Genomic DNA, 24,311 nt, shown 5'->3' on the forward strand with positions numbered 1-24,311 from the left:
AGGGACTGGGGTGGGAGGCTATTCTAGATGTGGGGGCTTGGGAGGGCATTTCTGAGGGACTGAGACCTGAAGAGTGAGGACTCAGAGCTCTCAGGATGAAAATTCAACAGAGAAAGGGAAGATGCAAAGGCTGTGGGGTGCATGTGAGTCTGATGTGGCTGAGGAAGGGGCCAAGGAGACTGGAGGGGTGTTAGGAGGGAAGAGAGGTAGGTGCCAATGTTGAGACCTACATTGTCCCATACAGCTTTCTGTGTTGGCCAAGGGAAACCTTGGACTTGACTTTAAGTCTATGCAGAGTCATGACTATACGGTTTTGTGGCAGGAGAAAACTGTAGTGAGGACCCTAAGTGGGCTTAAGTGAGTTGCTGAGGCTCAGAGTAAGCACTACTTCCTGCCCTTCAGAATGAGCGCTGGGAGCCCACACACCCAGGCTCACCCTGGATTGCATCCAGGGACCTCCGATCCTCAGGAGGCTGCCAGGCTGTGTTCTGATGAGAGTGTGGGGCAGGGGCCAGGAACCAGGATGTGCCATAAGCATTCTGGTCGCTCCTGGGCCAGGCTGCGGCTGCCTGGGGAGAGGATGGTACGGCAGAGGCTGGGGAAAGGAACAGCTACTACACAAAGCCCCTGTTGAAGAGAAACTCCGGCCAGCTGCCCAGGGCTGGGCTCAGAGCCAGGGTGGCCTCTCAGCATGCCCAGCGTCCCGCAGCCCAGCCTCCACTGAGAGCCAGTGCTCCCCACACCACTTCTGGAGCTTAGGGAAACCTCTGGATCAGGGTCATCTCATCCAGCCTCCTTCCTCTAGGCCAGGCTGGGCTCAGATCACTGAGGTAAATGGCACCATTTCCACCAAGTTGCTCAAGCCACGAACCTCCACATGATTCTTGATTTTGATTTTCCTTTTCCTCAGTATCTAACCATAATAACCAACTGTGCTGGGCTGTGTTCTCATTTCTCTGCATATATTGACTCACTTAATGATCATGGCAACTTTACCAGGTGGGTGCCGTTGTGATTCCAATTTTACAGATGAGGAAACTGAGGCCCAGAGAGGTTTAGTAACTTGACAAAGATCATACACCTAAGAAGTGGGAAATCTGTGATTCCAATCCAGATGGTCTGGTTCCATCGTACTGCAAGCTTCTTCAAGATCTGGATAACATGCCACTTCCTTCAGGAAGCCTTCCCTAAGACACCCCCAGCAGGAGGCAATAGCATAAGTCAGATAGACATGAGTTCAAATCTTACCTCTGCTACTAATGAGCTGTGTTACCCAGAACCAGTTACTTAACCTCTCTGTGTCTCACGATTCCTAAAATGGAGACAAATAACAGTACTTTTGCTCATCTATTCCTTTGTTCCCTTTGAAGTCTGTATCGTTATTTATGTGTTTTTTAATTAATAAAGTAAAACATATTTTATTTAAAAATGAGCAGCTATGTAGAGAGCCTGAATGTGCCACCCAGATCCCCATCAGTGGAGATCTTGTTGCCCCAGCTAAGGGAGTGCAGTCGGCTGTCTCAGACCCCAAAAGCGGCCTCACTTGAGGTCATACCTGCACCTGGGGCAGCTTGTGTCCCCAGACAGATGGATGCTGGGATACAAGGGCCTGGCTATCTCTGATTACTCGGACTGCCTCTAAAGGTCATCTCAGCTCCAGTGCTCCTGTGGGGCTGGGACTGCCTCCAGCTGCATTTCTCCCTCTGCACTCTCCTGCTTCCTTCCTCTCCCTTCCACAGTGACCCCAAGGGCACAACCTAATGAAGCCCGTGCTTCCGAATCTCCATCCCAGAGTCTGCTTCCTGAAAGCCCAACCTGTAGAAACCATGACATGAGGATTTATGAGCTGGTGTACATGCAGTTTTTAGCACTTCTTATCGGCTATATGTATTGGGCAGTTATTCTTTAATTTTTTCCAACAACCCTGTAGAGTAAGAACTTTGAGCCTCAATCTATGGATGAGAAAAATAGGAACCCAGAGAGGTTAAGAAACCTGCCTGACGTGTCCCAGCAAGGAGTGGTAGAGCCTAGATTGACCAGGTACTGAGATTCCCAAGCCTGGGCTTCTGCCCAGTGTACACAGTTAACAGGCGTCCAACATTGTAACTTCATTTGAAACTGAAAATTAAAATTGAATTAACAACAGAAGCAGTAAAAGAAGTAATTTCAGCTTCCCTTAACCTTAATTTCAGATTGACTCTTAATTGGCTGTGGTTTTTAACGCCTCGGTTTACAAGGCGTTCAGGGGTGAGACGGAGCTCAGCCACCTGACCTTTGGCTTCAGATCCTGGCTCTACCATCTCCTGGCTGTGCAAACGTAGGCGAGCTATTTAGCCTCCTTTTGCCTCCGATTCCTCATCTTTAAAATGGAGACAGTGATAGTAGCTGATTCAGTGGTGTTTATAAAGATCGACTGAGTCATATTCGATTCACGAAGCACTTCAAACAATGGCTGGCATGTGCAAAATTCTAGAGTGAACAATTTGGAGCCCGGACTCTGAAATCAGGGAGAGTTTGAACCCCAGCTCCCAAGCGGAATGCAATTGTAAGAATTTAAGAGAGTTGCTTAATTTTTCATGTCTCAGTTTTCCTATCTGTAAAAGAGGCATAAAAACATTACCCAACTCTTAGGGCTGGTGTGGCGATTCAGTGAGATAATCTGTGGTGACAGATGCTGGATGCTGACGTTGCACTGCCTCTGAGCTGGGCTGGCTGACCCGCACTTGCACGCCCCGGAGAGTGAGCACTCCCTGCAATTCTGCACTCCGTGTGCCTCATTTGCCCCACCCTGGTCCCAGCCCTGACTTCTGAGCTCACAAAGCCCTCTGGAATAACATTAATAATAACATCCATGAACTAATTAATATTACTATCTAGGACTTATATGAGAGTGGTTAAGAGCATAGACTCTAGAGCCGAACTGCCTGGATTCTAATCCTGACTCCATAGCTGTGTGACATTAGGTAAGGTACTGTATCTCTCTGTGTCTCAAGTTCTTTATCTAGAGAATGGGCATAAGAATGGTATCTACCTTCTAGCTTTGTTGGGAGGTTTAGATGAGTTAACGTGTAAAGCATGTTTTTTTCTTTTTCTTTTTTTTTTTTCTTAGAGATGAGGTCTCGCTCTGTCACCCAGGCTGGAGTACAGTATTATGATCATGACTCCACTGTACTCCAGCCTAGGACCACCACACCTGGCTAATTTTTTTAACCCCATCTCTACAAAAAAAAAATACAAAAGAAAATTAGCTGGGCATGGGGAGGCATCCCTGCAGTCCCAGCTACTTGGGAGGCTGAGGTGAGAGAATTGATTAAGCCCGGCAGGCTGAGGCTGCAGTGAGCTGTGTTGGCACCACTGCACTCCAACCTGGGTGACAGAGTGAAACTCTGTCTCAAAAAAAGAGAGAGAAAAAAAGAGAGAGGGTCTCACTATATTGCCCAGGCTGATCTTGGACTCCTGGCCTGAAGCCATCCTTCCACCTCCACAAGCATGTTGAACAGTGTCTGGCATTGGGTGAGCGCAATATGTTGTTATCCCTCTGAAGTCACAGAGCCCTCGAGTCCTAGTATTATTAGTATTAGTATTATATTAATATTTTGCCCATCATGAGCTCCTTAAGGATCCAGGCCATAACTCATTCCTCTCTTTCTCTGTAGCACCAGGAATGAACTATGATCATCTCAGTTTGGCAAGTGAGGAAACTGGCTGTGCCCCCAGGGCCCGTGCAGCTCACCTGCTCTGATCCTGGTGCTGCAGCCAGCACTGGGACCCGCCCACACCTGCCTCCCACTGTTCCTGCTGGTTGGGGGAGCCAGGGGGTCTTACCTCACAGCCTTTGGCCATGGCGAAGCCCCCTCCCAGGAGAAGGATGATGTTCCAGGGCACTGTCTCCTGGGCCTTCTTCCAGGTCAGCAAGGGCTCTGTCTCTGTGTTGGGAGCTGGGCAGAGAGAGGGATTCAGCACACACTCAGGGCCGCTCAGCCTGAGGCAGAGGCCACCAGCCCTGAGCCCCATCTTACCGGGGACACTCAGGGGTCCCCAGGAAGCCAAAGTGTGGATCCAGCATTTGACTTGGAGCTTTAGGGAGAGAGTGCACAGGCATCATGATAGGTGGAGCTGCTCTATTCCCAGTGAAAATAATTGTCATGGTTCCCACAGCTTGGGAGTTTTTGGAAACTCCACATGCAGGACATCACTTAACTCTCCCAACAGCCCTTGGGCACAAGTGCTATTTTTACCCTCATTTATAAGAGAAAAGGCTTTCTTTGTACTGGAACATGTACAGAGAGGAAAGAAAAAGAGGAAGGAAATTTAGAAAAATAGAAACAAAGGGTATTTTTGAGCCCCGAAATGATGGGATGATTTTTATTTCCTCGCAAGTGGCAGCGCTGCAGTGGTGAGGACAGTGGGCGGGGGAGTCAACAAACTTTCTGCAGGGGGTTAGCGAGTGAATCATTGAGGCTTTGCAGGCCACACAGTCTCTGTTGTCACTACTCCGTCGTTGTAGCATGAAAACAGCCAGAGACCATACCTAAACGTGTGGGCATGGTTGTAAATAAAACTCTATTTACAAAAGCAGGTGGTGGGTTGGACCTGGCACGTGGCTGGTAGTGTGACATCCCTGGGTTGGGGGCATAGGCTTGGAGACAGACCTTCCTCAGTCTTGGCTTACTGCATGCCCTTGACAAGTGACTTTGCCTCCCTGAGCCCCATTTCCTCAGCCGGCACATGGCACAGTTACAGAACCGGGGAGTCCCTGTGAACACGAACCAGGACAATGATGCATCTGCAGGGAGATGAGGCATTTCCAGTTAGCTGATAGTTGCATCCACAGGGTCTAGAACAGTGCCTGACACCTGATGGTAACTCCGTAAATATTTGTCAAATAATGTACATGACACACTTAGACCCATGCCTGGTGCAGGGTAATCACTCCTGAAATAGGACTTTTCTTGGCAGGCTGTGACCAGGGAAGCAGGGAGGATGGGTCTGACTCCTTTAAGGCAGTTTACCATCTCCCAGGACACTTCCTGGTCAAGCAGTTATGGAAATTTTGCTTCTCCTTTTGAGCTTTTTCCAAACGTTACACAGTGGTCTACCTAAAACAAGATTTTATAGTCAGGAAATAAAGATAATAAAAGCTACTTAATAAAATCCTTCTACCAGCAAGCATGCAGTCCACAAGTGTATGCAGCCCACAGGTGTATGCAATCCACAGGTGTATGCAGTCCACAGGTGCATGCAGTCCACAGGTGCATGCAACCCACAGGTGTATGCAGCCCGCAGGTGTATGAAGCCCACAGGTGTATGCAGTCTACAGACGTATGAAGCCCACAGATGTATGAAGCCCACAGGTGTATGCAACCTACAGGTGTATGCAGCCCGCAGGTGTATGAAGCCCACAGGTGTATGCAGTCTACAGACGTATGAAGCCCACAGGTGTATGCAGCCCACAGATGTATGAAGCCCACAGGCGTATGCAACCTACAGGTGTATGCAGCCCAAAGATGTATCAGTCCACAAGTGTATGCAGCCCACAGGTGTATGTAGCCCACAGGTGCATGCAGCCCATGGTATCTACATGCAATGCAGGTGTCATATACCTTGAGGGGATTCTTGGGCCAAATGCAACATACACTTAAGCCCAGAACTGGATGAGGTAACCAGACATGGCAGGTGGCCCAGCCCTATGCCTTCAGATGATAAAATGTCGTTTCATTAAAGAAGTACAAGAAGTCTGAAAAAGTGAAGCGACTTGCCCCACGCAGCAGGTAAGGGTGGATGGGACTGGGGAAGGAAGAAAGCCTTGAGCAGGGTCCCATGTAATGCAGATTAAATGGCGAGTGCGTATCAGACTGTCTGTCACATGCCAAGTGCTCAGTTAATGTTAGCTACCATGGGTTTTATTGTTTTCCCATCCAACCATGCCTTTGCTGCTATTTCTCATAAGCACAATCTCTGACTATGTGGATTTCCCACTGCAGCTCAACCTGATACCAGCCGACTGTCTACAGCAGTAGCTGAAGGCACAAGCTTTGAACTAGACTTGAATCCTAGCTCTGCTGTGCCCCAACTGTGTGATTTGGGCCAGTGTCACTACCTTTCTGAGCCTCGATTTCCTCTTCTGCAAAATGGGCTAACAGCACTTCCCTCGGAGACTTACTGGAAAGAAGAAATGGTCCCACTGTGCAAAGGACTCATCCCAGGGCTTTGCCCAGAGCAAGTCCCTGGCTATTTATTTATTTTTTATTTTTATTTATTTATTTTTTTTGAGATGGAGTCTCGTCTCTGTCGCCCAGGCTGGAGTGCAGTGGTGCGATCTCGGCTCACTGCAAACTCCGCCTAATTTTGTGTATTTTTTTTTAGTAGAGACGGGGTTTCACCGTGTTCTCCAGGATGGTCTCGATCTCCTGACCTCATGATCCGCCCGCCTCGGCCTCCCAAAGTGCTGGGATTACAGGCGTGAGCCACCACGCCCGGTCAGTCCTTGGCTATTTATTTAGCAAATATATATTGAGTACCTGCCATGTGTCAAACACTCTTCTGGGCTCTCAGGATACAGAAATGGTCAAAACAGAGAAAATTTGTCTCCTTGGAGAACTTATATTCCAGGGGGGAAGTCAGGTGATAAACAAATAAATATACTGGCCGGGCATGGTGGTTCACGCCTGTAATTCCAGCACTTTGGGAGGACAAGGTGGGCGGGTCACCTGAGGTCAGGAGTTCAAGATCAGCCTGGCCAACATGGTGAAACCCCATCTCTACTGAAAATACAAAAATTAGCCAGGCATGGTGGTGGGTGCCTATAATCCCAGCTACTTGGGAGGTTGAGGCATGAGAATCGCTTGAACCCGGGAGGCAGAAGTTGCAGTGAGCTGAGATTGTGTGGCTGCACTCCAGCCTGGGCAACAGAGCAAGACCCTGTCTTAAAAAATAAATAAATAATGCCAAGAAATTTCATGTGCTATGAAGAAAAATAAAATAAGGTAAAGGAATAAAGAGTAACACAGGAAGACGCTTTTCTAGATGGTGTAGTGAGGGAAGGTTTCTCAGGAGGTGGCATTTGGACAGAGCCCTGAATGAAGTGATGGAGTGAGTCACGAAGATCCCTAGAGGAACAGCTAGTTGGCAAAGAGGAAAGAGAAGTCGTCGTCGTCGTCATCATCATCATCATCATCATCATCATCAACTACTTTTCCACCACAAGCACATAGTAGGTACTCAATCAATATTTGAATGACCACAAAGGGTGAGAAATGCAAGTGCAACTCAGACCCACAAAAGAATAGTGGGGTGAGTATAAGAAGAAAATCAAGGCTGGCTTGAATGCCTGGTTCTATGTCCTGTCTCTCTCTTTCCCTTTGTCTCTTTGTCTCTCTCTCCCCCTCGATTTTTCTTTTTTTTCTTGAGACAGGGTCTCACTCTGTTGCCCAGGCTGGAGTGCAGTGGCAACATCACAGCTCACTGCAACCTTGAACTCCTCAATCTTCCTGCCTCAGCCTCCCGAGTAGCTGGAACTACAGGTGTGTGCCACCACACAGGCTAATTTCTTAAATTTCTGGAGACAGGCTCTTGTTATGTGGCCCAGGCTCTTCTTGAACTCCTGACCTCAAGCAATCCTCCCACCTCAGCCTTCCAAAGTACTGGGACTAGAGGTGTGAGCCACCACACCTGGCCCTGACTCTTTTTAATGAGCAGGGTGACCTTAAACAAGTCACTTTCTCTCTATGGAAACTTACTGACCAAAATATAAGACTCCACAAAAGTCTTTAGTGTTAAATACCAGAAAGTATCACATCAGCCAAGTCTGCACAGGGTCACTGGTGGCCAAAGGACAGGCAGTGCTCATGGAGTTCCCTCCCCACCCACTGGGAAATGCTGGAAACTCCAGTTCAAAGACCCCTGGGCTAAGGGCACACATTGGCATTCCATGGACCAGACTTAACACACATGTTTTAGTGCTACTGTTGTTGGCCCACATAGTATTTGTTTTTCAACTTGAATGAGTTGCCAATATTTAAAACCAGGGAGATTCCACATAAAAATCTAGATTTTTGGCTTCTTTTGAAAAATCAGCAAATCTGACTAAACTAGTTCTGTTCTCCTGCATGGGCACAATCAGTGGAAGCTAAGTAATATCCGTCCCCTTTAATTTAAGTGGGGATTGGCTCACCAATTTTCCACAGACCCTGCCTTGCCACGAGACTGAGGCACTCATCACTACTTTTTTTTTTTTGAGACAGAGTCTTACTCTTTCAACCAGCCTGGAGTGCAGTGGCGTGATCTCGGCTCACTGCAACCGGGTTCAAGCAATTCTTCTGCCTCAGCCTCCCAAGTAGCTGGGGTTACAGGTATGTGCCACCACACCCTGATAATTTTTGTATTTTTAGTAGAGACAGGGTTTCGCCATGTTGGCCAGGCTGCTCTTAGACTCGTGACCTCAGGTGATCCACCCACCTAAGCCTCCCAGAGTGCTGGGATTACAGGTGTGAGCCACTGCGCCCAGCCTCTCACCACTTCTTACTGATCTCAGCTGTTGTCTCCCTTTGTATAATAAGGAAACTGCTTTCTGTTTCAAAAATGGGAAAGGAAAGATTCACAAGGAGGGCCATGTGTTTCTTGAGACACATATTCCTGTACCCAATCTGCTGTATACAAATGTTACCTTCCATCTGGAGAAAAATATAGGTCAAATATATATAAATATATATAATATATAAAATAGATTATATATTTATAAAACATATAAATATATACAATATATAAAATAAGTGTTACCTCCTTGTAGGCAGTTGAGTTACAAACTCAATTGTAACCCCTGATCTATAAAGCCAGTAAAAGCCAGAGGTGGAAGGCATCTAAGGGACTCCCTCATTTTCTAAGTGAGAAAGTAAGGCTCAGACAATATAGGACCTTCCCTGAGGTCACCCAGAAAATTAGTAGCAGAGCTGAGATGCCAGTCATCTATGTCATAGTGAGGTAGGAGGCAGGACTCACTCCAGGGTTGGGGCTTGGGAACCAGACCAAATTGAGGACCAGCTAAAACAGGTCCTGGGCGGAAGCAGCTTTCCATAAGACACACCCACCAGTATACCATGTCAATCTACCATTGCCATGGCAACACCCAGAAGTTACCATCCCTTTTCATGGCAATGATTCAACAACCTAAAAGTTAACACCCTTATCCTAGAAATTTCTGCATAAACTACCCCTTAATTTGCATATAATTAAAAGTGCATATAAATATGACTGCAGCACTGCCTCTGAGCTACTACTCTGGGCACACTGCCTATGGGGTAGCCCCACTCCACAAGAAGCAGAACCTCTGCTGCTGCTGTGCACTGCTGTGTCAATAAAAGTTGCTGTCTAAAACCACTGGCTTGCCCTGGAATTCCTTCCTGGGTGAAGAAGCCAAGAACCCTCCCAGACTAAGCCCCAATTTGGGGGCTCGCCTGCCCTGCAACAATAGCGCCTTCCCCATGGGCCCAGCTGAGAGAAAGCCCTGGGCATTGTGAGTTCAACCCCAGGTGCCAGAACCATGGATGGGCACCTGACCAAGGGCAGCTGATCCATAGGCAGGCCAGGGATCTACGAGGCTGTGAAGTAGCCTTGTGGAAGGAGATCTGCCCAAGAAGAACAAGCTGGACCAACCCGACTCTTACTCTCAGATGCAGCAATGGGAAACAGAGACCCACTGGGCAAAGAGAAGTGACACCTGAAGGTGAAAGAATGAACAGAGAGGCTGTATGACACACAGGGGCATGACTGGGCTGAAGTTGGGTGAGGAAGCAGAAGCCAGGAGGAAACAGATACTGTGAGGACACAAAGGCTCCAGGGAAGCAGAGGCTCAAGGCATCAGATGGGCACCATGAGGAAGTGGCTGCCACCAGGGGGAAGAAGCTAGGAAGGAGCAGAAAGTATGAGGGGCGATGCCACAGGGAATAGAAAACATGAGGAAGTGGAGTTGGCAGAAGCCACGGGGATCAGACACTATAAGGGAACAAAAGTAGAGACTAAAATGAAGCAGAAACTATAAAGGTGCAAAACCTAATAAGCAGCAGAAACCAGGAAAAGGTTAAGAAATTGTATACAGAGGGAATGATGAGAACAGCCATTTGGAAGACTGACTGGAAAAGAAGCAGAGATGGAGAAAAACTGAATCCTGTTCAACTGCAGAGTACGCAGGCCCACAGCTAAGCCTCCTTAGACCCAGTTCCAGCCTCCCTGAGGTCCAGCTATGCTACAGGAACTGTCTATGGGTCGCACATGGTGGCTCATACCTGTAGTCCCAACATTTCAGAAGGCAGAGACGGGAGGGTCACTTGAGGCTAGGAGTTCAAGACCAGCCTGGGTAATGTAGCAAGACCCCTGTTCCTACAAAAAAAATTTTTTTGAGACAGGGTTTCACTCTGTCACCCAGGCTGGAGTGCAGTGGGTGCCATCACAGCTCACTGCAGCTTTGACCTGCCAGGCTCAATTCACCCACCTCAGCCTTCCAAGTAGCTGGGACTACCAGGAATGCCTCACCACGCCCAGCTATTTTTTTTATTTTTTAATTTTTTGTAGAGATGGGGTTTCTCCATGTTGCCAGGCTGGTCTCAAACTCCTGGACTCAAGCAATCCACCCGCCTCAGCCTCCCAAAGTGCTGGGATTACAGGTGTGAGCTACCATGCCCAGCCTGCTACAATTTTTTTTTTTTTTTAAATTAGCCAAGCGAGGTGGCTCACACCTGTAATCCCAGCTTCTTGGGAGTCTGAGGTGGGAGGTTCACTGGAGCCCAAGAGTTCGAGACTGCGCTGAGCTGTGATGGTGCTACTGCACCCCAGCCTGGGTGACAGAGTGAGACCCCATTAAAAAAAAAAGAAGAAGAAGAAAGAAAGAACTGTTTATGGAGCTTGCAAAATCCTCATCTTCCTACAGGACACATACACTATACTCCCCACACTCAAACCCTGACTCTTCCATGGCTGGGGCTATCCTGAGTGACACTATTTTTCTCAACAATAGAAAATAGTTTGATTATAGTCCCTATTTCCTGACTCCGGAGGAGCTCATCCAACTGACCCAGGTGGCAGCCTCAGGTGTTGGCGTCACCTTCTGGTAGACATCTGCTGGACACCGGAGGGAGTCGCAAGCTGGCAATCTGAAGGCCACAGTCTACAACATTTTGGTTAGAGGTACTCAGTGATTTTTTAAAAATGGAATCTGAATGCCTTTAGGCAGTTTTTCCTCAGTCCCCAACACTTCCTATACGGTTGAAACCCAGCTTGTGTTTTCCATGTGTGGCTCCCTGGGCAACCAAGGTGCAACTCCTGCTTTGGGCCAAGGGGTCATTTTTCTGCAAAGGACAAGAAAAATAAACATTTTTTGCTTTTGTGGGCCAAGAGGCAAAATTGAGGCTATTGTGTAGGTACTTATATAACTAAAGAAAATAAATTTCCACAAATTCCTTAGGGGAAAGCAAAATTTGATACATGGACACTGAAATTTAGATTTCATGTAACTTTCACATGTAGTAAAATGTTTTTCTTTTGGTTTTTTTTTCAACCATTTAAAAATCTGAAAACTGTGCTTAGCTCACAGGCTGTTCAAAAACAGATAGCAGGCTGGATTTGGTCTGAAGACTGTAGTTGCTAACCCCTGTCCTGGACTACCACCTGGGGCAGCCCTCAGTCCCCAGACAAGGCAATGGCTCAGACAGTGAAAGGAGAAGCAGGAAGGACCACGTGGTTAGTGCAGTGGGGGGCTCCAGGCCCTTGATGACCACACTCCATGCCGCAGTCCTCACTGAGCCCACCGAGACCCCAGCCTTGACCACCTTACCTTTGAAGTCAAACCACCACTTGAGAGAGGGCCTTTGGGACGGGAAGAAGAACAAGATGGTGACAATAGCCACGCCGGTGACAGCATCAGAAAGAAACCTACAATGAGAAGGCCCCAAATCACGTGACCATGGGCATCTCAGCGGGCCGAGGTTTGGCAGAATTGTAAAGGAGGATTTGTGGAAGGGAATTAGGCCTGCTGTGAAGGGGCCATTGTTGGAGGCTGGGCCACTGGATTCTGTCCTTCAGTGCGCTCAGCATGGTGCAAAGCTCTTCATTCACAGCTCCCTGGGGGCATTTAGATGCTGCTTGGGCTCAAGCAAATGCTTATCTTCCCAACTCAAGGACCCTACGAAGAGGGACTTGACCAAAGAGGGGAGAATCCGAGGGCCGCAGAATATTGGAGTCCTTGGAACCCCTATAAATCACCCTCACCGGGACTCCTGTAAGAGCCCTGTCTTTGTTCAGCTTGTGCTTGAATCCCTCCTGGGATGGGCAGCTCACTGCATTGAGATACAGCCCACTCACACCAGTGGAACCCAGATTGACCCAGCCTCTTGGCCCCTCAAAACCTAACTGTCACGTTTCAAGCATCCACAATGTGTCCTTTAGGGGAGTTTTGCGCACATTAAGCCCTCGGGGCAGGCACTTTCCATTTCAGGTGGAGAATCAGAGGGTCAAAGAGCAGAAACAACTTGTTCAAGGGCAGACCCTGAGCAAGTCATTTTGTTAAACTGACATACAAATACAACCAAGATACCCTGTAAATTGTATTTTTAAAGTTTTTATTTGCAGCATTGGACACAATTCAATAAGGAATTGGTTAAATAAATTGAAGTGCTCCCATTCTGTAGACCCTGGCCTGAAACTCAGATTGTTCTGGCTCCAAGTTCAACAAAGCCTAGAGCTCACTGCTAACCAAAGCTCTTTCCACTCACACATTTGGAAAGGAGAGTATTCAAACAGACAAGAAGTTGGAAGAGATGGTCAATATCACTATCATCAGAGAAATGCAGATCAAAACACTAATGGTATACCATTCATTTGCCAACAGGCAAGACTTGAAAAGGAGAGTAAAACTGGTGAGGGTGTTGGGAACATATGCCCTTAGTGAAAGAATAAACCAGTTTAACCTCCTGGGGCATTTGGCAACATGTTTCCAATTTTACATGTAAATACCCTTTGATCCAGTTATCCTCCTTCTAGGAATTTAACCTTGAGAAACAGTCGTACTTTTGTACACAGATTATGTGCAACGATGTTCATTACTGATAAGAGTAAAAAAAAATTGGAAGATTTTTGATAGACACATGTTTAAAGAAATTGTGTTCCATTCATATTATGAAGTACACTGCATCTGTTTAAAAAAAGATAAAAGATAACGTCAATCTATGTATTGACATAGAAACACAACCAAGACACCCTGTAAATTTTATTTTGAAAGTTTTGATTTGAAGCATTGAACACAATCCAATAAGGAATTGGTTAAATAAATCAAAGTGCTCCCATTCTGTAGAGTACTATGCAGTGTTTTAAAAGAATAAATTTGTGACCTGAGTCCAAGAAAATAAAATTAAAAAAAAAGAATGGAGTAAGTCCAAATGGCAAGTTGTCCATGATCATATTATTATATTTTACAGTCTTTTGTTATATGTATACATATTTGTATGTGTGTATGTATGAAGATATGTGTGCGTATCTGGAATGTCATACACCAAACTGCTCATGGTGATGATCTCTGGGCAGTGGGACATAAAGTGGATAAAGAGCCACTAACTTTTCCTTTTTCAATTCAGCATTGTTTGAATTTTTATGAGTATGCATAACTTTTGAAATTCAATACAAAATTAAAAAGCGGATTACAAATAATATGTTGACGTGATCACATTTCTGTTAAAAAAATCTTCTTTTAATAGGGTTCTAAAAGCCAATTGGCATATGTTTCATTGAGGTATAATTAACATGCAATAAAATGCACCCATTTTAAGGGTATAGTTTAACAAGTCTTGACAAATGTATGCAGTCCGATAACAGCGTGATCACAATGTAGAACAGTTCTCAGATAGGCATTGTTTAAAAGTCAGGAAAGATGTATATCAGAATTAGAGACTGAGATTTAGCTGATCTTCACATTTTCTGTATTGTTGAAATGCTTATAATGCCCATTTTGCATCTGAAAAAAATAAAGCATCTACATTTTAGAAAAATAAAAAAATGGTAAGAGCAACAAGAGCTTCATGGCTTCATGAAATTATATTGTTTCTTGCTTATAACAACCTTCAGGAGATCAGAATTTATGTCACCCATTTTACCAGGGAAGAGGTTGAGGCCCAGAAGGTGAGATATCTGGATTGTGCACTGCCCAGTATGGTAGCCACAAGCCACATGTGGGCTAGTGGGCACTTGAAATGTGGCAAGACCAAACTGACATGTGCTTTAAATGTAAAGCACACACCAGATTTTGATGATTTCACATGAAAAAAAGAATGCAAAATATCTCACTAATAATTTATACATAAAATATATTATTCATATTAGTTTCATCTGTTTTTCACTTTTTTAATATAGCTACCAAAAAATTTAAAATACATATGTGGCTCACATTATATCTCTCTTGGATGGGGCTAACTGAAATAATCAGATTTCACCAAATCCAGCAGATACATCTCTATTTAATCATGTTCCCACTCACACCAGAATTTGACACAGTGCCCACTCACGCTTCTTAAAACACTCCCCTCTCTTGGCTTTTGCTGGTCCATAGCTCTAAGTTTTCCTTCTACCTCACTCACCATCTCTCTGTTTCTCTGGTAAATTCATTTTCCTTTCCCCAGCTCCCAAGTGCTGGGGTTCCTCATGGTCTATACTCTACTTAAACACTTTCCATAGCTGAGCCCATTGATTCCTACGGATTTAACTCCCAAATTTATACAATGACTCCCAGATTTATGTCTGCAACCTAAACATCTCCTCTAAGCTCCAGTCTTGCATATCTAACTGCCTATTGAGCTTGACAAGTCTAAACCAAGTCCAAAATAGAATTATGAATAAGCCATTCCCAGCCCCCTAAAAAATATTCTTCTCCAATTAACCACCATCCATGCAGGTACTCCTTTCATTCACACCCCCCAATCCAACCCAGCACAAGTCCCACATTTAACTTTGAATGATATCTTGACTGCTACATTGCCATTGCTACCACCCTCACTCAAGCCATCCCCCAGACCAGGGGTCAGCAAATGTCTCCTGTAAAAAGCCACACAGTAAGTATTTTGGCTTTGCAGGCCACATGGTGTTTGTCTGGACTCACATTTGACATTGGAGTATGAAAGCAGCCATAGACAATATGTAATTGAATAGGTGTGGCTGTGTGTCAATAAAACTTTATTTGCAGACACTGAAATTTGAATTTCATATAATTTTCGTGTATTACAAGACGTTGTCTTTTGATTTTTCCGCAGCCATTTAAAAAATGTAAAAATCATTCAAAATCAAATGGCGGGCCAGATTTGGCCCAAAAAGACACGGGCCATCTAGATGATGTTATAGCTCCTAACTATTCTCCTCGTCTATATTTTTGCCCCCACTACCCATTTCCTAATGAATATAGCTAACAACTATTGAGTTCTTTTTATGAGCCATTTTAATCACTTGACATGTATTAACTCATTTACCTTTACAACAAGTCAATGAAAAACGTACTAGTATAATATCATTTTACAGATTAGGAAACTGAGGCACAGAGAGGTTGAGTACCTTACAACCCTCCAATGGCTGCCCACTGCTCACAGAAAAAAAACAAACCAAAATGCATAACATGCCCGAAAAGACACTCTGATCTGGCCCTCCCCTACCTTTCCTCACCCGCTTTCCTTCCTTCCCACCAGGCCTCGCTCCCACTGGGCTTTTCTCATTTTCTCAAACATGCTACGTTTGTTCTGACTCAGGCTTCAGTAGACATTCCCAGGGCATCTCCACTGCTTTCATCTGCAGTCTTCCTAAGCTTTGGCTCTTCCCAGAACTGTCCAAAGTCAATGCCCCTGCTCTATTATTTTATAGCATAACCCTCTCAGTCTTTCCTTCATAGCACTCATTGCAATGCAGTTGTTTTGTTGTCTAACTACTTGCTTTTGTCTGTGTCCCAGCATCCAGCATCCAGCTTAGCACATAATAGGTTCTCAATCAATGTTGATTGAATGAATGAACGATTTGCTCAGTCACACAGCTCGTAAGTGGCAGAGCTAGAATTCTAACCCAGTTTAGTCTGACTCCAAATCCAGAGCTCCCAACACATGAGAAGTCATATTTTATCACCCAAACCTAAACTCTTTTGAGAGTGAAAGAGGGACCTATTAATAATCATATGGGACAAAAGATGGAAACTTGGATGCGTGTCTCCCCAGCTGCACTGCCGCCTCTCCAGCTCCAGGTGGCCCAGCCCAGAATCCTCCCTGTTGGACTCCTCCCTGTGGGTCCCCAGAGTCTCACCCAGGATTGAAGAGGCTGGCCCAGCCAGGGATGAACTTCGGGTCCCGGGTGAAGAGGAGGATGGCAAACATGCAGAAAAGGATGAAAACAGCCTGTTCGGCAAACCTGTGGCACAGACATGCAGGCATGATGGTGACCCCGGGTTTCAGGCAGACCGCAGCAGGCACAGGCTCAGGCAGCTGCCCACTGGGAGTGACTGGGCCCGGGCTCTGCCTCTGAGAAAGCTGAAGTCATCCACTCCCCAGGGAGTGCCCAGAGTGAGGGGAGGGGTGCCAATGGACTGTAAATGATTCCTGTCCTAGGACTTCCACGATCCCTCAGGATCCTTCCTGAGCCTCAAGCCACCCCCTCCCCGAAATCGCGTGTTTCATTATCACCAGGAGTTTACCAGGGTCCTACGGAAAATCAAGAAAGTGAGAAACAGAGACAGAGTCCGAAAAGCAGAGAGGAAGAGAAACAGACAGAAATGCAGTAGGCAAAGAGAAAGAGGAGCATTCATACAGAGAGAGAGAGAGACAGAAAAACACACAGTCTGTCTACACCGAAAGGAGAAGACACAGAGAGGGGACAGACCTGGAGAGAGGGTGGATGAAGGTGGAAAGAGAGGATCCCCAAGAGTTGGAGGAGACAGTTACCCAATGTACCCATTTCACAGACTGGAGAGCAGGGCCCAGAGAGGGTTAGTGCCATGACCAAAGCCACACAGGACATGAGTGGCACAGCTGGTCCTTGAACACAGGCCTACTGAACCCGTTATTTTCACCATATGGAAATGTGCATTAAACAAGGTCCCGGAAGTCACCTGAGATAGTGTCAGGTATTCTGCGTACCGGGAGGGAAACGGTGCCTTGGGTGGAAGGTAGCAGATCCCACTGTAAGTACACTCTGAGGGGCTTTTTGGTCCTCAGGTTTCTACCCCAGCACCACGGCAAGAGGTTGACTGTGTAAACCACCTCCCATCCTCCATCTCTAGGCTCCCACGCCACGGGTCCTGGAATTCCCCTGGAGCTCAGCCCCCATGGGCCCAAGGCCAGGCCAGGAGGAAGCTCTCCTGAGCGTTTAATACTCAGCTCTTTCCTTAACCCAAGGGCCCCCACATACTTGATGGGCCCCAGGTTCTGGTATTCTTCCCGAATTACAGCTCGAGCCCTATCTTCTGCATTGGTTCTTATCTCAGATTTATTCTTCCTCCAGCCCCTGAAACAGAAAGTGGGAGATTAGGAGTGGCCACTGCAGGTATAACTAACTTCTCACCTACAACAAGCACCACCACCTGACCAAGCCACATCCTCTCTGTCCGGGAGGCTGCAACTGCCTGATAGCTTGTCTCCCTGCAACTGTCTTCCTTTGCTACAGTTGTTCTCCCCACGTATAGCCTGGTTGATCTTTGAAAATGTGAATCTGATGATATGACTTCCAGGCTTAAAATCCATGAGTGGGTCAAACAGGCACATGAATAAACACAGGAATCAATGGAACAAAACAGAAAGTCTAGACACAGACTCAATCACAAATGGGAATTTAGTCTATAATAAAATTGCTATCTCAGATTGGTGTGGAAAAGATGGGCTATTCAGTAAATGGTATCAGACATATAGATCAATGGAACAGAGTTGAGAGCCCAGAAATAAACCCATCCATCTATGGCCAGTTGATTTTTGACAGGCGTACCAAGACTGAATAGTGGGGGAAGGAATAGCCTTTCAACAAATGGTGCTAGGAAAACTGGACAGCCATGTGGAAAAGAATGAATCTGGACCCCTACCTCACACCAAATACAAAATTAAACCCAAAATGGATTGAAGACCTAAATGTTAGAGCTAAAGCCATAACACTCTCAGAAGAAAAGGCAGGGGTAAATTTTCATGTGCCTTGGAATAATATGGTTAGAGTTAAAACCATAAACCTCTCAGAAGAAAGGGCAGTGGTAAATTTTCATGCCCTTGGAATAGGCAACAGTTTCTTCAATATTACGTCAAAAACACAAGCCATCAAAGATAGATAAATTTGACTTCATCAAAATAGTAAAATGTTGTGTGTCCATAAATGGTGTTAGGACACTGGGTGACCATTTGGGACAAAAAAAAGTGAAGTTGAATCCAAACTTCACACTGTACCATAAGGATGAACTCCAAATAGATTAGAGGTTTAAATGTAAAAAAAAATAATAATACTAGAAGAAAACATATGATTATTCTTTTATAAGTCCTGTATTAGGAAAACCTTTCTAAACTGTAACTGAAATTTCAGAAACCATATGAGAAAAGATTGAAAAAAAAATTAAAACAATTCTGCAGGGAGAAAAGCACCATAAGCAAAGCCAAAAGACAAATCAGGAAAAAAAATGTAGCTTCTATTGTAGAATAAGCACTCATCTTTCTAAAATATAAAGCATACCAGAAACTAGTAAGAACAAGACCAAAAACCCATTTGAAAAAAATGTATAAAAATATGAACACACAGTTTCACAATTCACAGGAAAGAAAATACCTATGAACAAACTTTTCATATGCTTCCAAACCTATGAAAAGTTGCCCAAAATTACTGTTCATAAAATAAACACAAGTTATTTTTCTCTTATCAGATTGGCAAAAATCCACTTTGCTGCAAGGAAGCAGACACTCTCATACATTGTTCATGGGAGAGGAAACATGTACGATTTTTATGAAGAATGATTTGATAATATCTATTAAAATAAAAATGTGTTTATTCTCTGATCCAGAAATCCCACTTCTGGAAATGTATCTTATAAAAATGCTTGCTTCCTTTGAGCTACAGCTGCAAGGTAAAAGAGAAAAAAATAATAAAATAAAAATTAAAAAACAGCTGGGCTTGGGTGGCTCATGCCTGTAATCCCAGCTGTTTGGGGGGCCGAGGTGGGTGGATCACTTGAGGTTTGAGACCAGCCTGGCCAACAGAGTAAACCCCTCTCTCTACCAAAAAAAAAAAAAGGCACAAAAAATTAGCTGGGCAAGGTGGCAAGAGCCTGTAGTCCCAGCTACTCTGGAGGCTGAGGCAGGAGAATGGCCTGAACCTGGGAGGTGGAGGTTGCACTCCGACATGGTGCCACTGCACTCCAGCCTGGGTGACAGAATGAGACTTTGTCTAAATAAATAAATAAATAAATAAATAAATAAACAAACAAACAAAAATCTGTCACGGAGGCCAGTCACTAGAAAAAGATATCTATGTCTGCTCATATTTGCTTAAGAAAACTCTGGAAGGTTACACAAGAAACCAATAAAAGTGGATGCTTGTTTGGGAGGATATCGTGGCAGAAGAGGCCCATGGTTGGGAAGAGGGGTTCTCACTGCATACCTCTTAGCGCTGTTTTGATTTTTGAGAAGCATATGTATGTATTGCCTATCCAAATTAAGGTAGCCATATTAAAAAGTAATTGAAGTAAGCAAAATAAATATAGGAAAACAAAGTGCCAGTATTATATTTTGGCTAGTTATCATTTCTGGCTCAAGTCTCTGGGTCTGAAGCTTGCTCTTTCTTCGTTTAGAGGTTGATTTGGAAATGTTAGATATTAAGGTTTCTTTAGCACCCAACTGAGACTTTCTCCTCAACGTAAGTAGACTGAGTGATGAGAGTTGATAAAGACATATTTCCCATAATATGATTTGGTGTTATTTAGTATTTTGTCCTCATGCCACCCCAAATTATCTTCTGTATCAGGGCCCCATAAAATGGGAAATCGTGCACTCCCCTCTTCTCTGGTCAAGAGTGTTTACCTTATTTAAAGACAATACTATTAATAATTATGAATAATATGTGACATCAACAGAGGGTCTGTGTGTGGCAGGCAGGTCACACCTCTCACTTAATCCTCACATCCCTGGGAGGTCAAGAAATGAGGATATGGCTAGCACGGTGGCTCACACCTATAACCCCAGAGCTTTGAGAGGCCAAGACAAGAAGGATCACTTGAGGCCAGAAGTTTGAGACAAGCCTGGGCAATATAGTGAGACTCTGTCTCTACAAAAAATTAAAAAAAAAAATTTAACCAGGCACAGTGGCACTTGCCTGTAGTCTCAGCTACTTGGGAGGCTGAGGCCAGAGGAACACTGAACCTGGGAGATTGAGGCTGCAATGTGCTATGATCGCACCACTGCACTCCAGCCTGGGCAGCAGAGCAAGACCCTGTCTGTAAAACTAAATGCATACATACATACATACATACATACATATATACATACCTACATACATACATACATAAAAGAAAGAAATGAGAATACAACATGAAATAACAATCATCCTCAGTTTTCATAGGCAGATACTGAGGTTAGAAACGCCATTCCCTGCTTCCCCACTCTATTGCCAAAAAGAAAATGAGAGGTACCTGAAGCTCAGTCCCCCGTACAGGAAGGAGATCCAGAGCCAGCCTGCCAACAGGAACAACAGCATAAGAGGGAAGGCGAAAATGAACCAGGAGCCGAAATTCACCACGTCACACTGCGGAAAGAAACTGGAGAACAGCGGGAGATGAGAACAGGCCAAGGGCAGCCATGCCCATTTTGGGAGTGGGAGAGGGGACCAGGCAGTACTAGTAGCAGCGGGGAGGAGGAATGAGAGGGTCCCATGGAAGTCTTGGGAACAGTGTTTTCCACCAATTCTAATAGAAGCACCCTTTTTTCCTCTTCTTTGGAGGCTGCTGGCTTCTGACCTAGTGGGACCAATGGGTGCCCTACAGTCAAAATCTCTGCCCCCTGGAGGCCAGACAGGTACCTGAGTGAGTGAAACAGGCCAGGCTGGGCCATGGTGAATTGAAGAGAGCCCTGCTCATTAAAGGGCTCAGCTGCTATTTGCTTCCCCATGGTTGCCATGCAAGAGTGCAGGGCCAGTAAGCCCAGGTTTGGGTTTTACTTGAAATTATGTGATGTTTAAATGTTGACAATTCATGAAAATGTTTTAATGAATGTGGGAGTCACATATAACACATCTGCAGGCTGAAACCTTTGCCCTCCTTATTACATATGCTCAAAGACCCTGGGCATTTTGTCCAGGCAATGGTGATGTCGATGAGTTCTTTCTCTGCTGAACGGTGTCCAATCTCAGTTTTATTAAGACATCATCAAGCCTGAAAAGATGAAGGGCAATAACACTCAGTGCTGGTGAAGATGTGGAAAAACAGGCAGATTCTTGATGTTTGTTCGTCAGAATATTCTTTTCTGGAGAGGAATTTGGTAAAATGCAGTAAGAGTCTTAAAAATGTGCATATCCTTTTACCCAGAAATTCTACTACTAGAAATAAACTTTAAAAAAACAACCAGAAATGTGGTCAGGAATATAAGTGCTAGATTGAAAAGAGGAAAAGTAAGTTATAGAATGATGTATACAAAAGTATGTGGATACTCACGGACATTTCTAGGTAAATAATAAACCAAAACCTTAACAGTTATTGTATAACAAATAAGCAAACAAAAATATTAATAAACTCTATATAGTGGGATTCTAAGAGGTTTTTATTTCCTCCTTTTTCTCTACCTGTATTTTCTACAATGAATAAGTATACCTCTATAATTAGACAAAATAAAAATATTGTTTTAAAAATATTAAAATATCAGCAAGTGTGTGGTCAGTTACATAATTTGTAATAGCAAAATAATAATTATTATAAAATGAAAACAATCAATGCTTATGATTAAAGCATGTACACCCAAAATAAGACAATACATAGTCACTAAAAATTATGTTTTCTAAAAAATTTTAATAATAAAATCAGACTATAAAACTGTATTAAGAGCATAGTGGCAAAAACGTTAAATATATACACATTTAATATATGGACATAGAAAAGTCTAGAAGAAAGTCTGTTAAAATATCGACAGTGGGATTGGAGGTATTTCAAACTTCTTTTTCTACATTTTCCAAATGTTCTTTAGTGTGCCAATATCATTTTATAATCAGAATAAACCAATAAAATGTATTTTGGCAACAAGGGCCAAAGGACCACTCAGGGCAATCACTTCTCCTCTCCCCAGGCTTCTCCTGTTCTCAGCTGGAGAATCAAAATCACATATTACCTAGCATTCCTTTTAAATCCCCTCTTCCTACACCAGAGGGTCTGCATTTGAGCCCTTGTGTTGCATAAGATTTGCATGAAATTTACTTGAAATCCCACATTTGATATTTTTACTGTATATATGTTAATATTATATATTTTATGTATTATATGTTAATATAATATATATTACATACTTAAACATACATAAGATATATTTTAGAAAATATAAATATGAAATAGACATATAAAAAATATAATTTCCCCAATTTCATTTCAGGTTGGAACAAAGTCCTACTCACATCAGGGCAGGCAGGCAGCCTGTAAACGCTTTGACAACAACTGCTCCCCTCCAATTCTCTCCATCCCCAACCTAGGCTCTGCTCTCCATCCCCAGAGCCCACATCTTCCTGTCCAGCCCTGGGGATGGGTCCTGGCAAACCCTCATACCAAATGCCTACCTTCCCCCTTGGCAGAACGCTAAAGGGCTGAGCCTAGATCCTCCCCACACCTGAAGCAGGACCATCTTTGCTTCTGGTTTTTCTGTCACTGAGCTAAAACCAGAAGGCACAGCCAGCCTTGTTTAAAGGATAGTGATAAAAAGACATCTAAGGTTTGCAGTAAAACTCAGTGGGCTTAAATCAATTGGTGAAATACACCCACAACTTCTTTTTTTTTTTTTTCACCTCTCCCAGTGCATGGTTGACAATCACTGGTTTCCATCATCAAATCTTAAAATCAAAGCATTTTGGAAGCTGAGAATGTATTGGCAATTCATCTCACTCAGGGGTTAAGGTTTTAAAATCAGCACATGTGGCCAAACATGGGTGTACTAAAATCTCTTGTGAAAATACCTATAATGACTCACATGTATGTTACTGAGGGTTGCACACATAGCAAACCTCTCTCGGGGAGATCAGCAGGGCCTCCCTTTATTCATCCCCACAGGTTTTTGATTCTTTGGTTGGCCAACAGGTAAAGAAGTCAGCTAGTATTTGCAGCCACGTTGAATATCAAATACTATTTGGTGTCCTTTGTTGGCCAAATGCTTACATTTGCATTTATGTAAATCAAATGAACCTATGCTACATCTCCACTGCAAGGAATCTTAGAAACCCTGCCTCGGAATCCTGGAACCTAAAAGTCTTAAAGACAGAATCTTGAAATACTGAAGTTTTAAAAGCTTAGAAACCAGAGGTTTAGAATAATGGGAGCGGCACGTTGTGCAGTTGGAACATCTTTTCTTTTCTCTTTTCTCTTTTCTTTTCTTTTTTTTAGAGCAGGAGTGAAAGTTTATTAAAAAGTTATAAAGCAGGAACATCTTTCTTTTATCCTCGTGCCCTGACCGGCCACCCAGTCACTGCTGACCACTTCCAGGGGTGGGGAGACTTTAGCTCCCAGCAGAGCCCACTCCACTGGGGGACCCTGCTTATGGTTGGAAGGCTTCTCTTGGGCCATGACGGCCACAGACCCATGCCTCCCGCTGGATCACTCCTCTGCTGTGACCTTTCCAATGACCCCCATCTCACTTGGAGGAAAAGCTGGAGTCCTTAGACAACACTTACCGCTATAACCTTTTGTCTTCTCACCTTCCCTTCGCCCCAGGCTCTTCGTCTCCCTGGTTTTCTTGCTGGTCCCTGAACCTCCCCAGGAACAGCTCCACCTCCAAGCCCTGTAGGAGCTACTCCCCACTGTCGGCAATGCCTTTCCCTCCTGTGTCCACATGGCTCATTCCCTTCTAGGTCTCTGCTCAAATGTCAGCCCATCAGAGAGAACGGGTGTCCTTGACCAACCTACATAAACTAGCACCCCACTCTCCTCACTTCTACCCTCTTTCCCTGCTGTATTTTTTTCCTAACTTATCACACAGATATATTTTATATTCATTTGCTTTTTCACTTATTGCCTGTCTCTCCCGCCAGAATGGAAGTTCCCCAAGGGCAGGGATCTCACTGGATTTTGTGCATTGCTGTGTTCCCAGAGCCTGGCCCAG

The 24,311-nt window shown here is 44.6% G+C and overlaps 1 protein-coding gene across 5 annotated transcripts in view, besides 3 other annotated features; it reads right to left on the bottom strand.

Moving 5' to 3' along the window:
• SLC13A3 (solute carrier family 13 member 3) overlaps nucleotides 1–24,311 on the bottom strand; it is a 126,658-nt gene that overhangs the window by 13,920 nt on the left and 88,427 nt on the right. For 3 of the 5 annotated variants that reach the window (NM_001011554.3, NM_001193342.2, NM_022829.6), the window contains 5 exons: nucleotides 20,657–20,782; nucleotides 17,413–17,508; nucleotides 16,312–16,416; nucleotides 11,825–11,922; nucleotides 3,826–3,938 (listed from right to left, as the gene is read on the bottom strand). In NM_001011554.3, coding sequence (NP_001011554.1) covers nucleotides 3,826–3,938; nucleotides 11,825–11,922; nucleotides 16,312–16,416; nucleotides 17,413–17,508; nucleotides 20,657–20,782 — 538 coding nt within the window. The remainder of the gene's footprint in view (nucleotides 1–3,825; nucleotides 3,939–11,824; nucleotides 11,923–16,311; nucleotides 16,417–17,412; nucleotides 17,509–20,656; nucleotides 20,783–24,311) is intronic. The other 2 variants (NM_001193339.2, NM_001193340.2) reach the window with 2 other exon arrangements.
• Nucleotides 11,217–12,039: an enhancer, noted in NCBI's record as "OCT4-NANOG-H3K27ac hESC enhancer chr20:45211603-45212425 (GRCh37/hg19 assembly coordinates)". NCBI's record gives its function as "activates a minimal SCP1, AML or CMV promoter by ChIP-STARR-seq in primed H9 embryonic stem cells {active_cell/tissue: H9 hESC(primed)}" and the evidence as "EXISTENCE:reporter gene assay evidence [ECO:0000049][PMID:30033119]".
• Nucleotides 12,040–12,861: an enhancer, noted in NCBI's record as "OCT4-NANOG-H3K27ac hESC enhancer chr20:45212426-45213247 (GRCh37/hg19 assembly coordinates)". NCBI's record gives its function as "activates a minimal SCP1, AML or CMV promoter by ChIP-STARR-seq in primed H9 embryonic stem cells {active_cell/tissue: H9 hESC(primed)}" and the evidence as "EXISTENCE:reporter gene assay evidence [ECO:0000049][PMID:30033119]".
• Nucleotides 17,237–17,326: an enhancer, noted in NCBI's record as "active region_17977". NCBI's record gives its function as "activates an Ori minimal core promoter by ATAC-STARR-seq in GM12878 lymphoblastoid cells {active_cell/tissue: GM12878}" and the evidence as "EXISTENCE:reporter gene assay evidence [ECO:0000049][PMID:35858748]".

Source organism: Homo sapiens, chromosome 20 (genome assembly GCF_000001405.40).
Source record: "Homo sapiens chromosome 20, GRCh38.p14 Primary Assembly".
Classification (NCBI taxonomy): Eukaryota; Metazoa; Chordata; class Mammalia; order Primates; family Hominidae; genus Homo; species Homo sapiens.